This window comes from Homo sapiens, chromosome 17 (genome assembly GCF_000001405.40).
Source record: "Homo sapiens chromosome 17, GRCh38.p14 Primary Assembly".
In the NCBI taxonomy this organism is placed as follows: domain Eukaryota; kingdom Metazoa; phylum Chordata; class Mammalia; order Primates; family Hominidae; genus Homo; species Homo sapiens.
In genome coordinates this window covers 67,419,560-67,444,529 of record NC_000017.11, presented here as the reverse complement: position 1 = coordinate 67,444,529, position 24,970 = coordinate 67,419,560, and the positions used below count along the sequence as shown (strand labels likewise).

Below are 24,970 nucleotides of genomic sequence, written 5' to 3'. Positions count from 1 at the left end.
CTTGCATTACATAAAACTAAAAGAGTCTCCAGTCTGTCCCATTGCCCAAAGGCTGCCTCTCTGTCCCAGGCCTAGATTTTCCTCTGCTCACCCCCCTCCGCCACCCAGTCCCCACTCCAGATAAAACAATCTGCTCACCACATGTTGGACACATGATTTACAGCTTCCTACTTACAGACTTTCTCTGCCAAAATCCGTATTCCTCCTTCATAACTTGCTTCCAAGAGCTTCCCCGTGATCTCGGCCTATTGTGATCTCTTCTTTCCACCAGGTTCATGGTGAGTTTGCAATCAATTACAATGTTCATGTTCTTCCTTTAATAATTATATGTGAAGTGACAGTAAGGTCTAGGATTTGCTTCCAAACAATCCAGGGATGGGGGTAGCAGAGCGGGGCAGTATGACAAGAAACCTGATGAACCCACATTGTTCTAGTTGGATGATGGGTACATGTGGGTTCATCAGGCTGTTCTATTTTTGCTACAATTTTAAAGTTTCCATAGTAAAAAATCTGAAAATAATGACAGAGTTGTAAAGCTGGCTAATGACAAGACCAAAAGCCAAATCCAGGTTCTCCTGATTTTAAGACCAGTGTCGGCCGGGCGCAGTGACTCACGCCTGTAATCCCAGCACTTTGGGAGGCTGAGGCAGGCAGATCACCTGAGGTCAGGAGTTCGAGACCAGCCTGGCCAACATGGCAAAACCCCGTCTCTACTAGAAATACAAAAATTAGCCAGGCGTGGTGGCAGACGCCTGTAATTCCAACTACTCAGGAGGCTGAGGCAGGAGAATCGCTTGAACCCTGGGGGCAGAGGTTGCAGTGAGCCAAGATCACACCACTTCACTCCAGCCTGGTCAAAAGAGTGAGAATTCCCCCTCAAAAAAAAAAAAAAAAAAGACCAGTGTCCTCTCTGCCTATTGTCCTCTGTGCTTTTGTTTTTCATGGATTTTTTATGGTTGCTGTTCCTGCCTTTTTCACTGTGTCAAATTGTATTCATTTATTCATTAGACATGAAAAGCCCCGGTTGCTCGCCTCAAGGAGCTGGCAGTGGAACTAGGGACACCGGTAAACAGATAAATCACAGTCGAAAAATGAATGCAACCACCAAGATATGAATTGAGTGGAAACGAACAATTTCCTATGGGAAAACAGAACAAAGAAGCCTGCTTGCGAGAGTCTAAGAAGTCTGCCCAGCCAGTCAGGGATATCTGAGGTGAAACTTGAGAGCTAACAGGAATATTTTAGGTGAAGGGGCTTGGAGACACAATTCAGGAGACAGGGGCACAATTCAGGCAGACAGCAGAGCATGGACAAAGGTGCAGTCTGGCAGAAGTTTGATGAGGCAAGAGAGGTGGGAACAGGGCCAGACAGGGCAGGCGCCCTGGTGGGTTAGGTGGGGGCCAGATTGTAAAGGGGCTTCAACGCCAAACCGAGGGGGCTGAATTTTCGCTCCCAGCAGTCTGGATTAACAAGAAAGTGACATGATCACTGGTCGTCTGTTAGGAAGGTAACTGGCAGCTGTGTAGGTCAGAGCCCGCGGGGACTTTTGTAATAGACCAGAGCCTGGATTAGTGTGAGAGCTGGAGGTATTGCCTAGGTGTAAAATTTAAGAGGGTGCCTCAAACCTCAGCAATACAGATAAATATTATTTTAATGCATTTTTTTTAGTTTTTCTGGGACAGAGTCTTGCTCTGTTGCCCAGGCTGTAGTGCAGTGATGCAATCCCAGCTCACTGCAACCCTTCGTCTCCTGGTTCAAGCAATTCTCCTGCCTCATCCTCCAAAGTAGCTGGGACTACAGGTGCACACCACCATGCCTAGCTAATATATATATATATTTTTGTATTTTTGGTAGAGACAGGGTTTTGCCACGTTGGCCAGGCTGGTCTCAAACTCCTGGGCTCAAGTGATCCACTTGCCTCAGCCTCCCAATATGCTGGGATTACAGGCGTGAGCCACCACGCCCAGCCATAATGCATTTTTTTTTAATCAAAATGAATGCAAAGGAAATTCACGATGAAAATACATCCAAATTCTAAATAAAGATATGCTTGTTCTTGTTTGTTTTAGGGCCCTGCCTTCTTCCCCACTGGCTGCAGAATGCCCATCCCACCCTCGTCATCTCCCACCACCTCATCCACTGGGCGGGCTTACGAGGGTTGACAATAATAGGATTACAGATTGGACAACATGAGACTTTACTCATAGTCAACTTTTTTTTTCATTGTAGAGCTTCATTAACTTTTCCACTTGGTCCACAATATGGGAGGATATTTTCATGCATATATATATATATATATATATATATATATATATATATATATATGCTTATTTTCCCCTGATCCAGCTCCAATATGGTTTGGCAGGGCAGTGCAATCAACATAGCAATAAATGAGGAGAGGCAGTCCTAAAGCAATAGTAAAAGTTTAGATGGTTAAAGAGGAGAAACCAGATTCAAGCAACATTTCTGGGGCAGAAATGAAAGAATGTGGAAATACAGCAGGTGCATGAGGCTGAGGCTCAGCTTGGGCTCAGCAGAGTTTATTCTACTCAACTAAATCACAAACGCTTCAGGGGTTACAATCCCATTCTCCTATTCTTCTGTATCATTTTGCACCCAGCTCAGTAAGTTCCTGTTAACTAATTAAGTGGAAAAGAAGAGCTTAAATCCAAGGCATACATGACTGAAGCCAGGCGTGTGCAGTTCCTACTTCATACAGCCTCTCTTGCCGAACAGCAGGGCGCACTGATGAATATTCAAAAAGTAACAACTATTAATGACGACTAAGACCCTCAAAGTGTAATAAGTTATTTTAGTGACACTCTTCTGTCACTTTTCCCCATCTAATTTCACATTCTTAGGAACAGGGAGAAGAATAATTGACGTCGGGGCTTGGCTTTATGGTCTTTACAGCTGTGATCGGATTAGAAGAAAGGCTGACAAAAGTGTTGTTTCCATCCGCCTTTTACAATCGGAGAGAATGAATGAGCTGCTTTCCAGTTTTCTGTTCCAAGTATTAACTGGATTCCCACTTCACTTTGCTTCCGTGATTTCTCCTCTGCTTATGTTAGCTTCCGTCTCACACGATATGTACATAGCCCCATCTCTGCCGAGCAAATCAGAGGCTGAGCTCTGGGCTGTGGACAGTGTCAGTGACAACAAGGGTGAGTCGTCCTCAGATGAATCATCAGGTGTGGGAAATGCGTTTGAGACACTCAAAATAACTGGGGACTGATGGGTGGCGGGGGGGGGCTTAATAAATACAAGCCTGCGAGACCTAACTTCTACACGTCTTCAGAAGGCTGAGTTGCTTTGAGAGGGAGATACAGAAGATGACAATTTGCTGCCAGTGGCTGGTCCCAGACAAGGAGCTGTGACTAAACAGGAAATCAGTTACTTAGCAGTTGAGCGGATGTTTGAGTGTTCAAAGCACAGGCACAATAGCTATACTCTGATATGTCCTGTAAAGTTAAAAACAAAGCCAGGTTAACCCTGACAGATGCACCCAAGACTGATACACTTAGGTACTACCTGGTTGCATCGCCTGGGGATCTTAATACTCTGTGAATCATTATGAATTATAATATTTAAAGCTGTTGTTTATTTGGTATTTATTGGGTGTCATAATGTTCCCAGTGCTACACAGGCGTAATTTTTAAACCACCCCAAAAGTCCTGCAAGAGGTTAGGCGTGATGGCTCACGTCTGTAATCCTAGCACTTTGGGAGGCTGAGGTGGGCAGATTTCTTGAGCCCAGGAGTTAAGAGACCAGCCTGGGTAACATGGCAAGACCCCTATCCCTATAAAAAAAATTTTTTTTCAAAAAAAAAATCAGCCAGGCATGACGGTGCATGCCTGTAGTCCCAGCTACTTGGGAGACTAAGGTGGGAGGATTACCCAAGCTTGGAGAGGTAGAGACTGCAGTGAGCCATGATGGCACCACTGCACTCCAGCCTGGGCAATGGAGTGAGACCCTGTCTCAAATAAATAAATAAATAAATAAATAAATAAATAAATAAATAAATAAATAAAAAGTCTTGCAAGAGAAAACATCTCCATTTTTCAAAAGGAAGTTACAGAGGTTGAGTAATTTGCCTGATTTCACTAAGTTGGTCATAACAGAGTTTGGATTCAAACCCAGAGCAAACGAAGGCTTAGAGGGACTAGCAACTTTTCCTTTTGAGGTCTAGATGATCTTACTTTTTGTTATTAGGGGTCAAGGCCAGGATTAGAAGGAGACAAGTGAGGTTGCGTTTGCCAGTGCGGGGTTAGAGCCTGTCTTTAGCATTTTGATATTTTGTTCATTGTAGAGTATTGTGCATTAATTTTTATTTTTTAAAAATATTGCATCAAAATATTATTTACCCTGATTTTTAGTTTTTTGGTGCCATCTTAAATTTTGAGCCCAAGGGCTAGTGTTTTACTAGCCTCACTATTCTCTAGGCTTTGCTCAAGGCTACAGACAATCTGTGATCACCTGAATTAAGCCAACAGACAGTTCTCATTTCAGACAGACTTTTCATCTTCCTCCTGCCTACCTCATACATTTTACATCCCAAATTACTGCCTACTGGGAAAGAAGGTTTTGGGTTTGTTTTAACTTGTTTGTTTGCTTTTTTGTTTGTTTGTTTGTTTTTCTTTATCTTTTTCCTTGATTCATCACCGGCTGAGATACATACTATATAAACAAGAAATGTGGCAAAAGGTGGTATATCAAGAAACGGGATGCCAAAAATTTCACACAATCCGTGAACACATTTAAGCATACTTAAAAAAGAAATGTCCATCTCATCAACAAAAAATAAGTATGTAAGGTGAGAGATATGTTAATTAGCTTAACATAATAATTCAACAATGTATTCACATATCAAAATATCACCTGGTATATTATAAATATATATAATTTTTCATTTTTCAATAAATGAATGAGTGAAATGTGGAAGAGTAATGTCAGGCCCCCGCCCAAGGCTGGAGAACATATCTTTTTCTATGAGAAATTTTCTTCCATAATTGTCAGATCTTCAAACATCTGCTTCACAGAAGTGTCTCAGAGCCCTATCACAGATACAAGATTAAATAAATACCATAAGCTGAGGCTGTGGGTTGTCACTGGCAGCTGGAGGGACAAAAGTCATCTTTTTATTCCTAACCTTTTGTTTCTGCAAATGTAGTCTATTATGACATGCACAGGTATTAGGAGGGTGACGGCCATGCCAATAGCAAACACAGCTGTTTTGAATCCTATTCTGTATTTTTTATTAACTAAATACAGTGCTTGGTAAAATAAAATAAAATCAACATTAGGAGGCTCATCAATTACACAGGAGAGAAATGGTTACATAGAAATTGACATCATCCAGGTAATATATGCCTAATCAATTTCCTAAGCAAATCAGATGCTTCTGGGCTGAATTAAAGAAACACCTTTAATTAATTCAGCACCTACTGTGTGTCCGAAACCAACCAGAAACTTGTGGCCCAGGTTTCCTAGGAGAAACTGATGACCAATAAGCTACTGCCATTTGGACCTGTATTTTGTGGAGAGTGCAGGTCATTTTTTTAATTTAAAAAAGTGCTCAATTGCAGTCCCTTTCTACAGGACAGGCCAAGGGAAACGGATGGGAGCAAAGCAGGTGGATCTCTGGCAGGATTACAATCAAATTAAATGCGCATGGCCTGGAGTTTTCTTTTCAGCACTTTCAACTCAGAATAGTAGCCGTAAGTCAGCAGCAGTACTGCTTTTTGTTGCTGGGGCAGAGTATTATACCTCAGGGTTGCTTCTTCAGTTCTAATTTGACCTAATGAACATTTAAAAGAGAGGAAGGAAAAGTTACTTCTGAGTCCAGAAAACTGGATGGTAAAAGATCATATTCTAAAATTCACACATTCTGTGCATTAGAAAGTCACTTAGGCCCAGCTGGGCACGGTGGCTCACGCCTGTAATCCCAACACTTTAGGAGGCCGAGGCAGGCAGATTACTTGAGGCCAGGAGTTCAAGACCAGCTTGGCCAACATGGTGAAACCCTGTCTGTACTAAAAATACAAAAATTAGCCAGGCATGGTGACAGGTGCCTGTAATCCCAGCTACTGGGGAGGCTGAGGCAGGAGAATCTCTTGAACCCAGGAGGCAGAGGTTGCAGTAGCGGAGATCACACCACTGCACTCCAGCCTGGGCGATAGAGCGAGACTCTGTCTCAGAAAAAAAAAAAAAAAAAAAGTCACTTAGAACTCTGTTCTCTTTATCCAAATTCTAACAAAGATCTTACAACCCAGAACAGCTTAGAAGGCACACAGCGGAATGATGGTGGCTGCACTGACTAGAGGTCTATGTGCTGCAGAGGGTCAATTACAACGTTCATGGCTAGGGCTATTGAGTGACCTGAAGGTCAGACACAGCCCTGTCTTAGGATCTTTGTTTTTCTTTTTTCTTTTCTCTTCTTTTTTTTTCTTTTTTTCTTTTTTTGAGACAGAGTCTCGCTCTGCCGCCCAGGATGGAGTGCAGTGTCGAGATCTCCGCTCACTGCAACCTCCGCCTCCCAGGTTCAGGCAATTCTCTGCCTTGGCCTCCCCAGCAGCTGGGATTACAGATGTGTGCCACCACGCCCAGCTAAATTTTGTAATTTTTAGTAGAGATGGGGTTTCGCCATGCTAGCCAGGCTGGTCTCCAACTCCTGACCTCAAGTGATCCGCCCGCCTCGGCCTCCCAAAGTGCTGGGATTACAGGCCCGAGCCTCCGCACTCGGCCTTGGGCCCTTTCATTCATTCATTTGTTCATTCGTTCTCAGGGACCTCCTCTGGGATCTTAGAGCTCCTTTGAGTTCCTGGTAAGACCACCCACCTCTCCAGGGCTTAAGGAAGGTCTATAGAATGGCCAGTCTTCCTGATGAGGCCTCTCTCATGCCTGCACCCCAATGCAAATATTCCTAAGAAACCAGTGATGCTTAGGAGGTGCATTAGTTTCCTAGGGCTGCAGAAACACAGTATCACCAAGTGCCTAAAGCAACAGAAATGTGTTCTCCCGCAGTTCTGCAGGGTAGAAGCCCAAAATCAAGGTATCAGCAGGGCCATGCTCTGGAGGAAATCTGTCCTTGCCTCTTCCAGCTTCTGGTGGCCCCAGGCGTTCCCTGGCTCGTGGCTGCAACACCCCAACTTCTGCCTCCATGTTCAAGGGGCTATCTTCTCCCTGTGTCTCTCTATGTCCGCTCCCCTTCCTATAAGGACATCAGTCATTGGATACAGGTCCCACTCTAATTTCGGGATTATTTCATCTTGAGGCCCTTCACTAATTACATCTGCAAAAACCCTACTGCCGGCTAGGTGCAGTGGCTCACACCTGTAATCCCAGCACTTTAGGAGGCCGAGGCAGGTGGATTACTTGAGTCTAGGAGTTTGAGACCAGTCTGGGCAACATGGCGAAACCCTGTCTCCACTAAAAATGCAAAAATTAGCCAGCCATGGTGGTGCAAGCCTGTAGTCTTAGTTACTCGGGAGGCTGAGGTGGGAGGATCACCTGAGCCTGGGAAGTCAAGGCTGCAGTGAACTGTGATCGCACCACTGTACTCCAGCCTGGGCAAGCAGAGTGAGATCCTGTCTCAAAAAAAAAAAAAAAAAAAAAAAAAAAACACCCCTATTTTCAAATACAATCAGATTCTGAGGTTCCAGGCAGACACAGATTTTGAGGGGACACTATTCAACCTGCTACAGAAGACAATCAATAAAACTGGTAACAGATGACCCAGCTTTCCAGAAAAGGCCATGGAATGAGTCTCCTTTACCTCAGCCATCCACACAAATCCAAGACCCTTGGGTTTTCCCTGGTCTCAGGACTTTTATCCCTGTTGCCATTCTTGCAAAGCTCTGCACACAGCCAAGAAACATGAATCAGATTATGTCACTTCTGGTTTTAGAACTCTCAGTGGCTCCCATTGCAAAAAGGACATATCCCAAACTCCCAGCCAGGCCCCGAACGCTTTCCACGCCCTGTCCGGTACGTTCGTTCCATCACCCTCCTTCCCCTCCCTGGCCTCCCTACCTTCTGCTTACCTCTTGCCTCCCTCACCCTCACCTTTATTCCTCTCCTGGCTCAAACACAAAGAGGCCATGCTAGTACTTGCTGCTCCCTGTGTCTGGACAGCTGTCTCTCAGATTGTCGCTTAGATAAGACCATTGTTCAAACGTCAAATCCTCGCAGAAATTTTCTGTCCATTCTTTTTAAAATAGCACCCCCAGCCAGACACGGTGGCTCAGGCCTGTAATCCCAACACTCTGGGAGGCAGCTGAGGCAGGAGGATCCTTTGAGGCCAGGAATTTAAGACCAGCCTGGGCAAGAAAGTGAGACCCTGTCTCTACAAAAAATTTAAAAATTAGCTGGGTGGCTGGGTGTGGTGGCACACATCTGTAGTCCCAGCTACTTGGGAGGCTGAAGCAGGAGGATCCCTTGAGCCCAGGAATTGGAGGCTGCAGTGAGCTATGATCACACCACAACACTGCAGCCTGGGGCAACAGAGCAGCAAGATTGTATCTCAAAAAAATAAAAAGTAAAACAAAGGAACAAACAAAAAAACCACCAACCATGTATCTCACACATCTTAGGTCACTCGATTACAGGACCCCAACTTATTTTTTTATACCACTTATCACTAGCTGAAATTGTTCTTCTTGGCGGGGAGGGTGCGGTGGTAGACAAAGTCCCGCTCTGTTGTCCAGGCTGGAGTACAGTGGCATGATCTCGGCCCACTGCAACCTCCTCCTCCCAGGTTCAAGCGATTCTCCTGCCTCAGCCTCCTGAGTAGCTGGGATTACAGATGTGCACCACCACACCTGCCTAATTTTGGTATTTTTAGTAGAGATGGGGTTTCACCATGTTGGTCAAGCTGATCTCGAACTCCTGACCTCGTGATCTGCCCACCTTGGCCTACCAAAGTGCTGAGATTACAGGTGTAGGCCACCGCACCTGGCCTGAAACTGTATTATTTGTGTCCTTGTTCACTTGCTTACAGTCTGTCTCCCCCAGCACAATGTCAGCCCCATGGGGGCAGGAGTTTGTCTCATTGGTGGCTATGTCCCTGCATCCCAGGGCCTGGAAGAAGGCATTCAATAAATACTTGTTGAATGAATCCATGTGCCTGCTGGGTAACATGTTAGACACTGAGGGTACAAAAATGCCTACAATGGCCCCGGAGGGTGTCACGTTTAGTGAAGGTTACAGAAACGTCAAAAGCACTAACACTTCTGGGGCCCAGCCACTGTTCTGTGGCTTTTATCTTCACAAGAATCCTGCAGAGGTAAGTACTATTATAATTTCCGTTTTACAGATGAAGTAACTGAGGTTGCGTAATTTGCCCAAGAGGAGCCAAGGTTCAAACCAGGGAGTCTGACCAGATCTTGAGCTCTGGGCTTCTTTTTTTTTTTTTTTTTTTTTTGAGATGGAGTCTCGCTCTGTCACCCAGGCTGGAGTGCAGTGGCGTGATCTCAGCTCACTGCAAGCTCCATCTCCCGGGTTCACGTCATTCTCCTGCCTCAGCCTCCTGAGTAGCTGGGACTACAGGTGCCCGCCACCATGCCCAGCTAATTTTTGTATTTTTAGTATAGACGGGGTTTCTCCATGTTGGCCAGGCTGGTCTCGAACTCCTGACCTCAGGCGATCCACCCACCTCAGCCTCCCAAAGTGTTGGGATTACAGGCGTGAGCCACCTAGCCTGGCCTTTTATTTTTTTATTTTTTTTTTTTTTTTGAGGCAGAGTCTCACTCTGTTGTTCCCTGTTGCAACAGCTCACTGCAACCTCCACCTCCTGGGCTCAAGCAATCCTCCCACCTCAGCCTCCTGAGTAGCTGGGATCACAGGCATGCACCACCACACCTGGCAAATTTTTTTGTATTTTTAGTACAGACGGGGTTTTGCCATGTTGGCCAGGCTGGTCTTGAACTCCTGGCCTCAAGAGATCCACCTGCCTCGGCCTCCCAAAGTGCTGGGATTACAGGTGTGAGCCACCGCGCCCAGCCTGAGCTCCGGGCTTCTAAAGCACAGCCTGCCCCTCTACCAAAGATTACAGCTCTGTGCAGAGGGCCCTAAGAAAGGTTATGTAATGGGCCTGTGGGAGCCGGAAAAGGAAACGCTACTTGGGAGTGGGGCGGGTGGGAGGCTTCCTCTTGCTGCTCAGTTCCCAGGCTGGGGTGGCAACACCATGTGTAAATGGGCAGATTTTACAAAAGAGGCACAGAGCAGATTGCATTCAATGGGATGCAAAGTAGTTTCTGGTAATCTTGTGTGGGCACAGGGAGGGGTAACACAGGACTCTGTGGTGCCACAGCTGAGGTGTCAGCATTACATCACCATTACGGAGCCATAAGCCTCATTCCCCGTCTGCAGCCCAGGTTCTAGGCACTGGGCTCTTGACTTCCTAACATCTATAATCAAGCCTCTCTCTTAAACCACAGCTTCTGCTGCTGAGCTCTGGCCTTGCTCCTCTTCACCTCCCTGGAGAACCAGGTCCCGTTCTAAGCCCCAGGAGCAGGACCATTTGTGGTCTCGGCCCCTTGCCCCATCCTGACCACCCTCCCATCCAGCCTGTACCTCTATGCCAGCACCAGATTCCTCTTTATTATTATTATTATTATTATGGGGAGGAGGAGACAGAGTCTCGCTATGTCACCCAGGCTAGAGTGCAGTGGCTATTCACAGGGGTGATCCTTGCACGCTAGTCTCAGACTGCTGGGTTCCAGTGATCCTCCTGCGTCAGCCTCCTGGGTTCAAGTGATCCTCCTGCGTCAGCCTCCTGAGCCTGCACCTGGCTTCCTCTTTTTCTTATTTCTATTTTTTAGAGATGGAGTCTCACTCTACTATCCAGGCTGTAGCACAGTGGCACAATCATAGCTCACTGCAGCCTCAAACTCCTATGCTCAAGCGATCCTTCTGCCTCAGCCTCCCGAGTAGCTGGGTTTACAGGCGCAGGCCACCACACCCAGACTCTCCCTATGTTGCCCAGGCTGCTCTGGAATTCCTAGCCTCAAGGGATCCGCCCTCCTCGGCCTCCTAAAGTGCTGGGATTTCGAGTTACTGCACCCGGCTCCCCAGCTTCCTCTCTGTTCTATCTTCTGCCCGGGGCTGGCTTGCCCTCCATTCATCTGCCCAGAAGCACAGCCGTGTTTGTGCGCAGCCAGCAGACTCTCCAGACTCCGGTTCCACAGCCTTACCCGCCCGCCCAGGCTCGCTCCCGCAGCCCGCGGCTAAGACCTTAGCAATCTCTGCTCTGCACCTGTAGCTTTGCCTCCTTTCTAGGTCTGGCTTCCCTTGGTCTGGCCCAACTAAATTCTTTCCTGGCACTGACTGCCAGGAGACAGGAAAACTATAGAAAGCAGAAGAGGGAGAACCACGTAAGTCACAATCAAATGGCTCTTTTGCCAAATATCTACAAGCCTTGCTCCCACGATTCATCCAGGTCTCTGCTCAACTGTCGCCTCCTCAAGGGTCTTCCGCCACCACTCTCCCCACCCCCACTCGCTGTCCCTATATCCTGCTATATTTGTGGCTACCTGACATTATATTATATTTGTATATTTCCATGCTGTTGTCAGGGTCCTCCTCCCACCTCCAGAATATAAGCACCTTGAGGGCAGGGAGTTTGTTTTAGTCACACCTGTGTCCAGAGCTGTATCTGGCACATAATAATCACTCAATAAACAGTGGTAAGCTGAATGCTTACAAGAGTCACATACACCTGAAATCTACACAAAAGAGCACACTGTAATAGCTGATGTTTACAAAGATCACTCAGGAAATCGAGACAGGGAAAGTCATTTTGTTCTGTTTTGTTTTGTTTTAGGATTACATGAGATAATGTTCACAAAGCCTGTAATGAAGTTACTGAAACAGCCATGTCCAACCCTTTGAATAAGAGGACTTTTTGGCTTATCTGTGGTGGCAGATATCACAAAAATTATACACGGACCTTTATTTATTTATTTTAGCTCATCAGTTATCATTAGTTTTATTTTATTTTATTATTTATTTATGTATTTATTTATTTTGAGACGGAGTCTCACTCTCTCGCTCATGCTGGAGTGCAGTGGTGCAATCTCGGCTCACTGCAAGCTCGGCTCACTGCAAGCTCCACCTCCCAGGTTCACGCCATTCTCCTGCCTCAGCCTCCCGAGTAGCTGGGACTACAGGTGCCCACCACCACGCCCGGCTAATTTTTGTATTTTTAGTAGAGACGGGGTTTCACCGTGTTAGCCAGGATGGTCTCCATCTCCTGACCTCGTGATCCACCTGCCTTGGCCTCCCAAAGTGCTGGGATTACAGGCGTGAGCCACCGCACCCGGCCAGTGTTAGTGTATTTTATATGTGGTCCAAGACAATTCTTCCAATGTGGCCCAAGGAAGCCAAAAGTTTGGACACCCATGTTCTAAAACATAGCACGCTTATAAATATGTTAGCTATTATTAGAGAAACCATCTTTACAAGATTCTGGTAAACCTTTCTTATCAGGAACACCCAGCTCGTTTCCCAAGAGTGTCAAGTAGCTGAAGTTTTCCTGCAGAAGTTATCCACTGGGATATAGGAGGTAATATGGCTGTGGTCCGTGCTGGGTGAAACTGAAAACATCTGACTGAGCCAAAGAGAAGAGACTAAAGATAAATGTTGCTGAAATAAACACAGTCAATTGTTAAGACAGTCATGACATTAAGACAAAGGAAGAAAAGTTTTCAGAGTGACTCATCTTTTGGTTCTTCAGAGTGATCATATCTTCCTTGGAAACAGAAAATACATGGAGATGTGTGAACTATGCATGCCTCTGTGTTTATGACTCGAAGATAAGCTGTGGTGAGGGAAAGTCTATATTAGTATTCAAGGCCACAGAAACCAGTCTCTTTTACAAATTACCGTGTAATTAAACAGAAGGCACATGAGATGTATTTTAAGCACATCCCCTTTCTTATTCTTAGTATTCCACTCAACGTCCAAACCCTTATTAATATCTCTGGCCAAAACCACAACTTAAAAACTGCAAACTCATTGTACTATCAAGGAATATTTTCTAATTGTGCCTTAAAACCAACTGTCAGACAAGCTGAGTTCCCATCATGAATAATGGTATACAGAGGCTGACTCAGCGGTAAAGGGTGGAGAAAACGCAGAAAGAGGGGGAAAGCCGTAGGTAAGACAAGACATGAGGCCAGGTGCGGTGGCTCACTCTGTAATCCCAGCACTTTGGGATGCTGAGGCGGATGGATCACTTAAGGTCAGGAGTTTGAGACCAGCCTGGTCAACATGGTGAAATCCCGTCTCTACTAAAAATACAAAAATTAGCTGGGTGTGGTGGTGGGCGCCTATAGTCCCAGCTACTCGGGAGGCTGAAGCATGAGAATCGCTTGAACCCGGGAGGTGGAGCTTGCAGTGAGCCAAGATCACGCCACTGCACTCCGGCCTGGGCGACAGAGCAATATTCCATCGCAAAAAAAAAAAAAAGAAACAGTAACTAAAAAGAGTAAAAATTAAAGAAATAGTTCATCATAAAATGGAAACACATAATGAACTTCTTTCAACATTCCAAGTTGTTGTGTGGTTTGGTTTTGTTTTTAAGAGATGGGGTCTTGCTTTGTCACACAGGCTGGAGTGCAGTGGTGTGATCATTTCTCACTGCAACCTTCCTGGGCCCAAGGGATCCTCCCACCTCAGCCTCCTGAGCAGCTGGGACTACAGACACATGCCACTGCATATGTCTAATTTTTTTTTTTTTGGTAGAGACAGGGTCTCACTATGTTGCCCAGGCTGATCTTGAACTCCCGGCCTCAACTGATCCTCCCACCTCAGCCTCCCAAGTAGCTGGGACGACAGGTGTGCACCACCACGCCCAGCTGTTTTGTTGTTGTTGTTTAGAGACAGAGGTCTCACTACCTTGCCTAGGCTGGTTTCAAACTCCTGACCTCAAGCAATCCTCCCGCTTCCACCCTCTAGAGCATTCTGCCTCCTAGAGCACTGGGATTATAGGCATGAGCCACCACACTGGCCAACATTCTAAGTTTGTTTTTGTTTTTGTTTTTGAGACAGAGTCTTGTTCTGTCACAGAGGCTCGAGTGCAGTGGCATGATCTCAGCTCACTGCAACCTCCACCTCCCGAGTTCAAGCGATCCTCCTGCCTCAGCCTCCCAAGTAGCTGGGATTATAGACTAATTTTTTTGTGTCTTAGTAGAGACAGGGATTCACCACGTTGGCCAGGCTGGTCTTGAACTCCTGACCTCAAGTGACCCTCCCACCTCAGCCTCCCAAAGTGCTGGGATTACTGGCATGAGCCACCACACTAGCCAACATTCTAAGTTTTTAAAATCACAGAGTAGTAAGGAGAATTAATGATCCAGAGAAAAGACGTTACCATCTATAAACTCCTGCGCATTCAGAACTGTCTTAAACCCTTTATAAACCTTATTGCTATACCTCTGAGATTCCTCTTTTGCAGATGGGTAAAAAGAAGTTCAGAAAAATTAAATGATTCAGAACTGGAAGTAAAATTGTGTTGTTTCAAAGCAAGGCTGTTTCCACTACACTGATAATTCCTAAATGATTCCTAAATGCTAGTGCACAGGTTCATTGCCAAATGGAAAAAACAAAGCAAGTGCGGTCTGTTTTCAGAAAGCTAAATTTATTCATCACATAACTACTGAAATTGTATTCCTTCTAATATTTAATGCTAAAATATTCTTTCAGAAAAGAAAGGATATTTTGACATGAAAATTCTCTCAAATCATAAAATTCATAAAAACAAGATTTTAAATGACAAATGAATAAAAGAATAATGGTGGTAGAAATAATTACTTTGTAAGTTTTTTTTTTTTTGAAACAGAGTTTTGCTCTTTCATCCAGGCTGGAGTGCAGTGGCACGATCTCAGCTCACTGCAACCTCCGCCTCCCAGGTTCAAGTGATTCTCCTGCCTCAGCCTCCTGAGTAGCTACGATTATAGGCAATCGCCACCACGCCCAGCTAATTTTGTAATTTTAGTAGAGATGGGGTTTCACCATGATGGCCAGGTTGGTCTCAATTCCTGACCTCAGATGATCCACCTGCCTTGGCCTCCCAAAGTGCTGGGGTTACGGGTATGAGCCACTGCGCCCAGCTACCTTGTTTTAAAACATCCTTACTTTGCAACATGAAAAACAGATGATCTTACATCAATCCCCAAAATTTCTTTTAAATTTTACTGACCCATGAAATACAAGACTGGCAACCACTGTCCTATAATCACTAGCTTTCAATTTACCCATCAGTGGTTCATGAAATCATTTTACCTGGTCAATACATGAATATTCTTCTTTCTTTTTTTCTTTCTTCCTTCTTTGATAAAATAGAATAGAAAAACAGAAAACATCAGGAGGTAAAGACAAGTAGGTAAAAAAGCCGGGCGTGGTGGCTCATGCCTGTAATCCCAGCACTTTGGGAGGCCAAGGCAGGTGGATCACCTGAGGTCGGGAGTTCGAGACCAGCCTGACCAACATGGAGAAACCCCGTCTCTACTAAAAATACAAAATTAGCCAGGCGTGGTGGCACTATGCCTGTAATCCCAGCTACTCGGGAGGCTGAGGCAGGAGAATCGCTTGAACCCGGGAGGCAGAGGTTGCAGTGAGCCGAGATCACACCACTGCACTTTAGCCTGGGTGACAGAGCGAGACTCCGTCTCAAAAAAAAAAAAAAAAAAAGCAAGACAAGTAGAAAAAAATGGTTAACTAATGTTTGTTTTAAGTTTATAAATACATAAATGCTAGTTTATATGGGGTTGGGATGTATAACGTACTTACTGCAGGTAAATGACTGTCAAAAAACTTTGAAAACCTTTGTACTGTTTTTCTTAGAGTAGTACATATTCATTATTAAATATTTGTAAAACACAGGAAAATTATCAAGAAGAATGTTTAAAATCATCTATAATCTCATTACCCGCAGGTCACTATTTGTATTGCTAGGCGCAGTATGTTTTCTTTCTTTCTTTTTTTTTTTTTTCTTTTTGAGATAGGGTCTCACTCTGTTGCCCAGGCTGAAGTGCAGTAGTGCGATTTCTGCAGCCTCATCCTCCTGGGCTCAAGGAATCCTCCCACCTTAGCCTCTCGATTAGCTAGGACTATAGGTGTGCACCATGATGCCCTGCTAATTTTTGTTTTTTATTTTTTAAAAAGATGGGCATTATGTTGCCCAAGTTGGTCTCGAACTCCTGGGCTCAAGTGATCCTCTCACCTCGGCCTCCCAAATTCCTGGGATTACAGACATGAGCCACCACACCCAGCCAAGGCACAGTATGTTTTCATATTACAGAGACACTAGCTGTAAACACTAAATATTCCTAAACCCTCTAAAGTAGCAGCATTATTTAAATAGAAGACTGAGCCTGGCACAGTGGTGGATGCCTGTAGTGCCAGCCACTCAAGAAGCTGAGGCAGGAGGATTGCTTGAGCCCAGGAGTTCAAGCCTGCAGTGTGCAATGATGTTGCCTGTGAACAGTCACTGCACTCTAGCGTGGGCAACACATCGAGAACCCCATCTGTAAAAAATAAAATAATAAAATAAATAGAAGACTGATCGTCAAGGACAATGTGCCACAAATGGGGGAATGCCCTTAGACAAGATGAACTATTATCATTTCAGACACTTAGGTATCCATCAATCTCTCTGATCATATCAAGAGTTGGAATTGATTTCTAGGCACCTTGCTCACGAAGGAATGCAATCTCCCATCTTAAAGGTAAGCATCTGATTCCACCATTAACATTTTCAACAAAGATTCCATCAAATCAGATGATGTATTTGCCTGGAGTTTTGTTTCTACTTGTTAAATATGGTTTATTTTTAGCTGTAGGAGTGATGGAATTTGTGTTAACAGGCCCTGGTGAGAATAATCAGTTCACAGCCAAGCTCGGGTGCAGCCAATGTTCATGTGTAATGAAGGATGACTTTGAAAATACAGCAAATCCAGCTCACTCACTCTTGTGAGGAGTCCGAGGAGTCCGAGGAGGTTTTCATAGTGAGAAAGCATGGCTGGGTGCAGTGGCTCATGCCTGTAATACCAACACTTTGGGAGGCCGAGGCAGGAGGATCACAAGGTCAGGAGATCAAGACCATCCTGGCTAACACAGTGAAACCCCATCTCTACTAAAAATACAAAAAAAATTAGCCGGGCGTGGTTGCGGGCGCCTGTGGTCCCAGCTACTCGGGAGGCTGAAGCAGGAGAATTGCTTGAACCTGGGAGGTGGAGGTTGCAGTGAGCCAAGATCACACCACTGCACTCCAGCCTGGGCAGCAGAGCGAGACTCTGTCTCAAAAAAATAAATAAATAAATAGTGAGAAAGTATACATTGTGGGAAAGAAAGAAAGTAGCCAGGGTCTCACAATGCCCAGAGCCCTGACTATTAGTATGAACTCATTCCAGACAACCAGGAGAACTCCTCCAGGGCCAATCATGGAGACTTTTTCAGGATTAGGAGAAGGTCACCTGAGACAGCACCTCGGTGCCATTAGGACTCACAGGGACCTCAAAACTTATGTTTGCTGCAAAGGAGAGGTGCATGTAAGCATGGTGCTCAGAACTCACCAGCATGTGAAAAGAACTTCAGAGTAAACAGGAATTCAAGCATCATCAGTTTGTTTCACATCAAACATGGATACTCTTACCAAGCATTTATGAGGAATCCATTTTACAGGAAACAAATGTGGAACAAATTTGTATGCAAATTAAATAAGTTTTTAAAAAAATCATGATGATACATAAATATGGAAGCTTCCTTTCTCTAAACATATGTAATTTATTTTTTATTTTTATTTTAAGTTCTGGGATACATGTGCAGAATGAGCAGTTTTGTTACATAGGTATATGTGTGCCATGGTGGTTTGCTGCACCTATTGATCCATCCTCTAAATCCCTCCCCTCGCCCCCCACCCTCCAACAGGCCCCGGTGTGTGTTGTTCCCCTCCCTGTGTCCATGTGTTCTCATTGTTCAACTCCCACTTATGAGTGAGAACACGTGGTGTTTGGTTTTCTGTTCCTCTGTTAGTTTGTTGAGGATGATGGCTTCCAGCTTCATCCATGTTCCTGCAAAGGACATGATCTCATTCCTTTTTATGGCTGTATAGTATTCCATGGTGTATATGTACCACATTTTCTTTATCCAGTCTATCGTTGATGGGCATTTGGGTTGATTCCATGTGTTTGCTCTTGTAAATCGTGCCACAATAAACATACATGTGCATGTGTCTTTATAGTAGAATGATTTATATTTCTTAGGGCATATACCCAGTAATGGGATTGCTGGGTCAAATGGTATTTCTGGTTCTAGAGTCTTGAGGAATCCCCATACTGTCTTCCACAATGGTGGAACGAATTTACCTTCCCACCAACAGTGTAAAAGCATTCCTATTTCTCCACAGCCAAACATATGTAATTTATATTCAAAAGAATTTCTTACTCCAAAGTATGATTTTCAAGCTCCAAAGAGCACAGGAAGTGTATGATGGTCTATGAAGTGATCAGCAAAAGGGATTGCAGGAGGGAGGCCTATGTGTTAAATAAAGTTTTATTGAAACACAGTCACACTCACTCCTTGACCCTATTGTCTATGGTTGCTTTTGAGCTACAATGGCAGAGTTGAGTGGTTGTGACATAGACCTTATGATCGGCAAAGGCAAAAATATTTACTTTCTGGCCTTTTAAGAAAAACTTTGCTGCCTGGCATGGTGGCTTGCACCTGTAATCCCAGCACTCTGGGAGGCTGAGGTGAAAGGATCACGTAAGGCTAGGAGTTTGAGACCAGCCTGGGCAACACAGTGAGACCCCATCTCTTTAAAAAAAAAATTTTTTTTTAATTAGCCAAGCGTGGTGGTGTGTGCCTCTGGTCCCAGCTACTTGGGAGGTGGAGGCAGGAAGATCGCTTGAGCCCAGGAGTGCAAAGTTGCAATGAGGCATGATTGCGCCACTGCACTCCAGCCCGGGTGACAGAGCAAGACCCTGTCTCTAAAAAAAAAAGAAAGAAAGAAAAGAAATAGCGAATGAGAGAGAAGGAAGGAAGGAGGGAGGGAGGGAGGGGAAGGGAGAGAAAGAGTGAGAGAAAGAGAGAGGAAAAGAAAGAAGACAGGAAGAAGAAAGAAAAGAAAAAAAAAGTTTGTCAACCCTTGCCCATAGCAAGGGTTTAGGACTTGAATAAGCTGTGACCATTTCTGAGGGGTTCATTCTCCCATACCATGGTGATTCTTCTTTCTCTAGAGAGGTCATTTCTCTCTCTCTCTCCCTCTGTGTGTGTGTGTGTGTGTGTGTGTGTGTGTGTGTGTGTGTGTGTGTGTGTGTGTGTGTGCGTGTGCGTGCGCGCGCACAACATGGCTGTTTATTTCACCTGGGTGCAGGCGGGCTGAGTCCGAAAAGAGTCAGCGAAGTGTGGTGGATTATCATTAGTTCTTACAGGTTTTGGGATAGGCGGTGGAATTTGGAGGAATGTTTTGCAGGCAGGGGGTGGATCTCACAAAGTACATTCTTAAGGGTGGGGAGAATTATAAAGAAACTTCTTAAGGGTGGGGAAGATTACAAAGTACATTGATCAGTTAGGGTGGGGCAGAAACAAATCACAATGATGGAATGTCATCAGTTAAGGCTATTTTCACTTCTTTTGTGGATCTTCAGTTGCTTCAGGCCATCTGGATGTATACACGAAGGTCACATGCTTAGCTTGGGCTGAGAGGCCTGACACTGAGGCAAGAGAATCGCCTGAACCTAGGAGGCGGAGGTTGCAGCGAGCCGATCACGCCACTGTACTCCAACCTCTGCAACCTACTTATTGACTGCATGAATTGTCGAATTGTCTCCTCAGCTCAGTTTTGTATATTTGCTTGTTTGTTTGTTTTTGTGAGACGGAGTCTTCCTCTGTCGCCCAAGCAGGAGCACAGTAGTGCGATCCCGGATCACTGCAACCTTCGCCTCCCAGGTTCAGGCGATTCCTCTGCCTCAGCCTCCTGAGTAGCTGGGATTACAGGCGCCCACCACCACGCCCAGCTAATTCTTGAATTTTTAGAAGAGACAAGGTTTCACCATGTTGGCCAGGCTGGTCTCGAACTCCTGGCCTCAGGTTATCTTCCTGCCTCGGCATCCCAAAGTGCTGGGATTACAGGAGTGAGCCACTGCGCCCAGCCAGCCCAGTTTTCTTGAAGGTCAAGTGGTAATCTTGCATAGTTATAGTTTGGATTAAATACGATGGTGACATAGTGCCTACATCACAGTCCCTCTTATGCCATTCTTCCTCTTCTTGCTGGAAGAGAAGTCCCAACTCTTAAATTCTCTCCCTCCACCTTGAAAGTCCTTTCTCTATTGGCTTCTACCATACCATTCGCTAGTTTTCCTGCTTTTTCTCTGTCCATCCCATCTCACTTTTATTCTTGAGCTCCTCATCCTCAACTCTATTTTTTTTTTTTTTTTTTTTTTGAGACAGTCTCCCACTGTTGCCTAGGCTGGAGTCACAATTCTAGAGAGGTCATTTCTTAAGTGGCATATGAAGAGTTGTAAAATGTAACAGGAACACCAATAGGTTTTGGATTGGTGTTAAACCAATTTCAGAGAAGTGTGACTTTCAGGACTGCAAGAAATCTACTTGAAACCTCTTCTGTGAAACTGATCCCGAAGTTTCAGCCCTGAATCCAAATGAGGACAGAGATGCCCAAGAGGGAGCATTGCAACTCTCCACTGTGGGACCTGGGCCACATATTCCCTCCTGGCTTCAGGACAGAAATCTGTAACTGCTCTTGAAGGAGCCACAGAAACGCTCTTCTTTTCTTTAGCAACTTTCTTCCATTTGTCCTTTGCTCCAGAACTATAGGATGGAAACCCACAAAGACATACCTGGGCGCACATCCATCCTTATTCAAATGCAGGTGGACCTTCAGGGAGGCTGAGGCAGGAGGATCGCTTAAGCCCAGAAGTGCATGGTTGCAGTGAGGCATGATTTCAGGTAGACTTTCATTTAAATGAGCATGGATTTGCGCCTAGTCAGGTCGGTTGAAAATACTAGTAATCAGATTTGAAAATACTAATATTCAGGTTTCGCCACCTCTCTGTACCAAGCCCACATCCTTGCCTTTAGAAAGTCAGGCCTGCTAGGTGGGGTCACCGGGGTGCTCCAGGCAAATATCATCCCCCTCTCCCAAGGTAAGGGCCCTGCCAGGCAATGGAGAGTATTTCTCCAACACACCATGTTTCCAATATCTGTCAGAGAAAAGACCTGATTCAACTTGTATCCAGTGATTTGAAAGCTAAACCCAAATCTCAATGTCATTCTGACAATATTTCTATTAAATAAAATCCTCTGTTTCCTTGGGGGCTTTTAAAATCAATCTGCCACAAAAAGCTTCCGAACAAGTTAATAACGCAGACGTGCTGACTCACACTCCCCAGCAAGCACTCCTCCATGAAGAATCAATGGACTTTGTTCAACATATCAAAACAGTTAGCAGTTGAGCCGTAATGCAATTAAAACACAGCTCTTCCTTACCCAACTCTTCCTCATGTTAAAAAAAAAAAAATGCTAGCATACTGAACTCTTGGGAGTTACAGAATCAAAATCTCAGATGAGTCTGTTAGAGCTGAACTAACATTTACTAAGTGTATATCACACCAAAGACACTGAGGCACGTACATACACTACCCTGCAAACTAGACATTGTTTGAGTAAGCTAGACCGGCGTGGTAGCTCACGACTTTTATTCCCAGCACTTTGGGAGGCTGAGGTGGGCAGATCACGTGAGGTCAGGAGTTCGAGACCAGCCTGGCCAACATGGTGAAACCCATCCCTACTAAAAATACAAAAATTAGCCGAGTGTAGTAGTCTAATCCCAGCTACGCAGGAGGCTGAGGCAGGAGAATCTCTTGAACCTGGGAGGTAGAGGTTGCAGTGAGCCGAGATCACACCACCGTGCTCCAGCCTGGGTGACAGAGCAAGACTCTGTCTCAAAAAAAAGAAAAAAAGAAAGACAGTGAGCAAGCTAGGGCTGGGCAGGTGGGTGTGGTGGCTCACACCTGTATGTACTCAGGAGGCCAAGGCAAGAGGATGGCTTGAGCCCAGGAGCTCAAGACCAGCCTAGGCAACATAGCAAGACCTCATCTCTATTTTAAAAAATAAATAATGAGGAAATTGAAGCTTAGAGAGTTGAAATGACTTGTCCACGGCCTAATAAGACAAAATTGGGATTCAAACTCAGTCTGTCTCCAAATCTCTGTCTCTCCATATGCCACTCACCTCCAACTCTATGCAATGGTAAGTAGACAATGTCAAAGGAATGTATTAATAGCCTTCCTTCCTCCTAGGATGGGCCTGGGAACATGCTGTTTTGTTTTTCCCTCTGCCCCTCCTTTTAGTCATTGGAAGCGTATGTTGGCACATCCTTCTTTCAGATGATGTGGTTTAAGCCTTCTTGGGTACAGTCACAATTGAGTCATACTTCCTGCAAGTCACACCAGCTCACCTTGCCTGAGTTCTAAGGGTTCACAGATTCTTGGCTCATCTCGCACTGTAAATTTCAACTTCAATTCGAGGTCATTTCCTGTTGGCCTCATGTGTCACCTACATGCATAATTTGCCTCTCAATGTTATTCCTGGAAGGTCTCTCATTGCCTTGGCTGTGTTAGAGGGTGAGTCCCATCAAGGAAGGATTTGGTGGCTTATTCGCCGCTGTATTCCCAGAACTTGATAAATATTTACTAAATAAACAGATTCTGCATCTTTGCCACATTTCTAGGAGGTAAGGAAACTAAGACACAGGAAAATTAAGGTTGCTTTTCTATGACCACACAAGAATGAGGCTTCCTGGAATTGGATGTGAGAACAGCCATAACTGGGGTGAGGGTACCCATCTGACACAGCAACCCAGCCTTCCCAACACCACACCGTGAAGACTTTAGAATAACAAAAATGGGTTTCAAAAGTTACCATTCTAGCCTGGTACAGTGGCTCACACCTGCAATCCCAGCACTTTGGGAGGCCGAGGCAGGTGGATCACCTGAGGTCAGGAGTTCAAGACCAGCCTGGGCAACATGGTAAAACCCCATCTCTAGTAAAAATACACAAATTAGCCAGGCGTGGTGATGAGTGCCTGTAATCCCAGCTACTCAGGAGGCTGAGGCAGGAGAATCGCTTGAACCCAGGAGGCAGAGGTTGCAGTGAGCTGAGATCACACCATTGCACTCCAGCCTGGGTGACAAGAGCGAAACACCATCTCAAAAATAAATAAATAAATAAAAGTTACCGTTCTCTGTTTTCAAGTCTTTGGCACCAAGACAAAAGACATCCGTCTTCTATATGAGCTGTATGTGTGAATGACTCCAACAGGGAGTGAAAAACTAACAGTTCCTGCTCCACCTGCCAAGTTCTCACTAGCACCATCAAGAAGAAAGCTTTCTCTCAGCCTACCTGGAAGGAAGGAAGCCAGGGTGGAATGCGCAGAGATCTCCTGAAATGTCATCTTCCCTTCTGCACCCAGAAGGACCCTAAAGATCCCCCAAAAGAGACTGGAGCCCAGTATATTCTAGCTAACATGATGGATAATGTATCATTCATGGCTGGTGAAATTCTAAGTAGCTTCATAGTGAATTCTGCCCCCACATTAGACATTCCTGACTTTGCTTCCATCACATATAGTTAGTATGAGTAAAGGGCTATTGATTGATCAGAAGAAACACTGGAAAGTAAGTCTGAGTGCCAAAACACTAAGTGCTTCTACAACGAGAAAATATACACAAGTCAGGAAATGCAATGGAAATAAAAACACAAGTAGAAAACAGAAGTGAGGCCGGGCGCAGTGGCTCACGCCTGTAATCCCAGCACTTTGGGAGGCTGAGGCGGGCAGTTTACTTGAGGCCAGGAGTTCAAGACCAGCCTGGCCAACATAGCAAAACCCCGTCTCTACTAAAAATATAAAAATCAGCCAGGCGTGGTGGTGGATGACTGTAATCCCAGCTGCTTAGGAGGGTGAGTGAGAGGCTCGCTTGACCCAAGGAGGTGGAGGTTGCAGTGAGCCGAGATAGCGCCACCGAGCTCCAGCCTGGCAACAGAGAAAGACTCAAGAAAGAAAAAAAGAAAGAAAAGAAAAGAGAAGAGAAGAGGAAGGAAGGAAGGAAGGGAGGGAGGGAGGGAGGGGAGGGAGGAAGGAAGGAAGGAGAGAGAGAAAGAGAGAGAGAAAATAGAAGTGGCTAATTTCTGTACACCCCCAAGAATTTAGAAATTTGGTCACACATTGAGATTCTTTATTCCAGTGCTTCTTGCTGTACCCAGGGGCACTTAGTAATTCCTGAGAACCCTGCACTGGAGGTTTTCAAATCATAATTAATACAAAACTTGTCATGAAAAGACTCACTAATCACTGATCTATAAAATATATTCTCTTCCACAGAGTGCCTTTTTTAGCTTCACTCTGAAAAGCATTGCTTGTTTCTACCACCCCTCAGGGATCAAAGACGGACTCATGTCAGGTCCAAAATGCATGAAGCAAAATGAGACCATGATTTGTCTCTGATAACTTTGTGCTTTACGGATGGATAGACAGATGTGGATGGTTTTGAAACAAAGGGGTTCTGGTTTTCTCTCTCTCTCTCTTTTTTTTTTTGAGACAGGGTCTTGCTCTGGGTCTCCAGCCTCACTCAGGCTGGAGTGCAGCGGCACAGTCTCGGCTCACTGCAACTTCCACCTCCCGGGTTTAAGCAATTCTTCTGCCTCAGCCTCCCGAGTAGCTAGGATTACAGGTGCTTGCCACCATACCCGACTAATTTTTGTATTTTTAGTAGAGACGGGGTTTCGCCATGTTGGCCAAGCTGGTCTCGAACTCCTGACCTCAAGTTATCCGCCTGCGTCGGCCTCCCAAAGTGCTGGGATCATACGCTTGAGCCACTGCGCCTGGCCTCTTTAATTTATTTTTTCTAATGAGTTGGTCTATTCTGTAATTCAGGAAAAAGAGTGTCTTCCC

At 45.2% G+C, this 24,970-nt stretch overlaps 1 protein-coding gene and 1 long non-coding RNA gene across 4 annotated transcripts in view, besides 1 other annotated feature; one reads left to right on the top strand and one right to left on the bottom strand.

Moving 5' to 3' along the window:
• The window catches only part of PITPNC1 (phosphatidylinositol transfer protein cytoplasmic 1), a 319,976-nt gene that overhangs the window by 252,727 nt on the left and 42,279 nt on the right, over positions 1-24,970 (bottom strand). The gene's annotated exons all lie outside the window — the stretch shown is intronic.
• Positions 199-6,210, top strand: LOC124904046 (uncharacterized). The gene is made up of 3 exons (XR_007065881.1): positions 199-278; positions 1,009-1,213; positions 2,862-6,210. It is a non-coding gene; the product is annotated as an uncharacterized LOC124904046 (long non-coding RNA).
• Positions 21,917-23,116: an enhancer, noted in NCBI's record as "P300/CBP strongly-dependent group 1 enhancer chr17:65417530-65418729 (GRCh37/hg19 assembly coordinates)". NCBI's record gives its function as "activates an origin of replication core promoter dependent on BRD2, BRD4, P300/CBP, MED14 and CDK7 cofactors, with strong dependence on P300/CBP, by STARR-seq in HCT116 cells {active_cell/tissue: HCT116}" and the evidence as "EXISTENCE:reporter gene assay evidence [ECO:0000049][PMID:35650434]".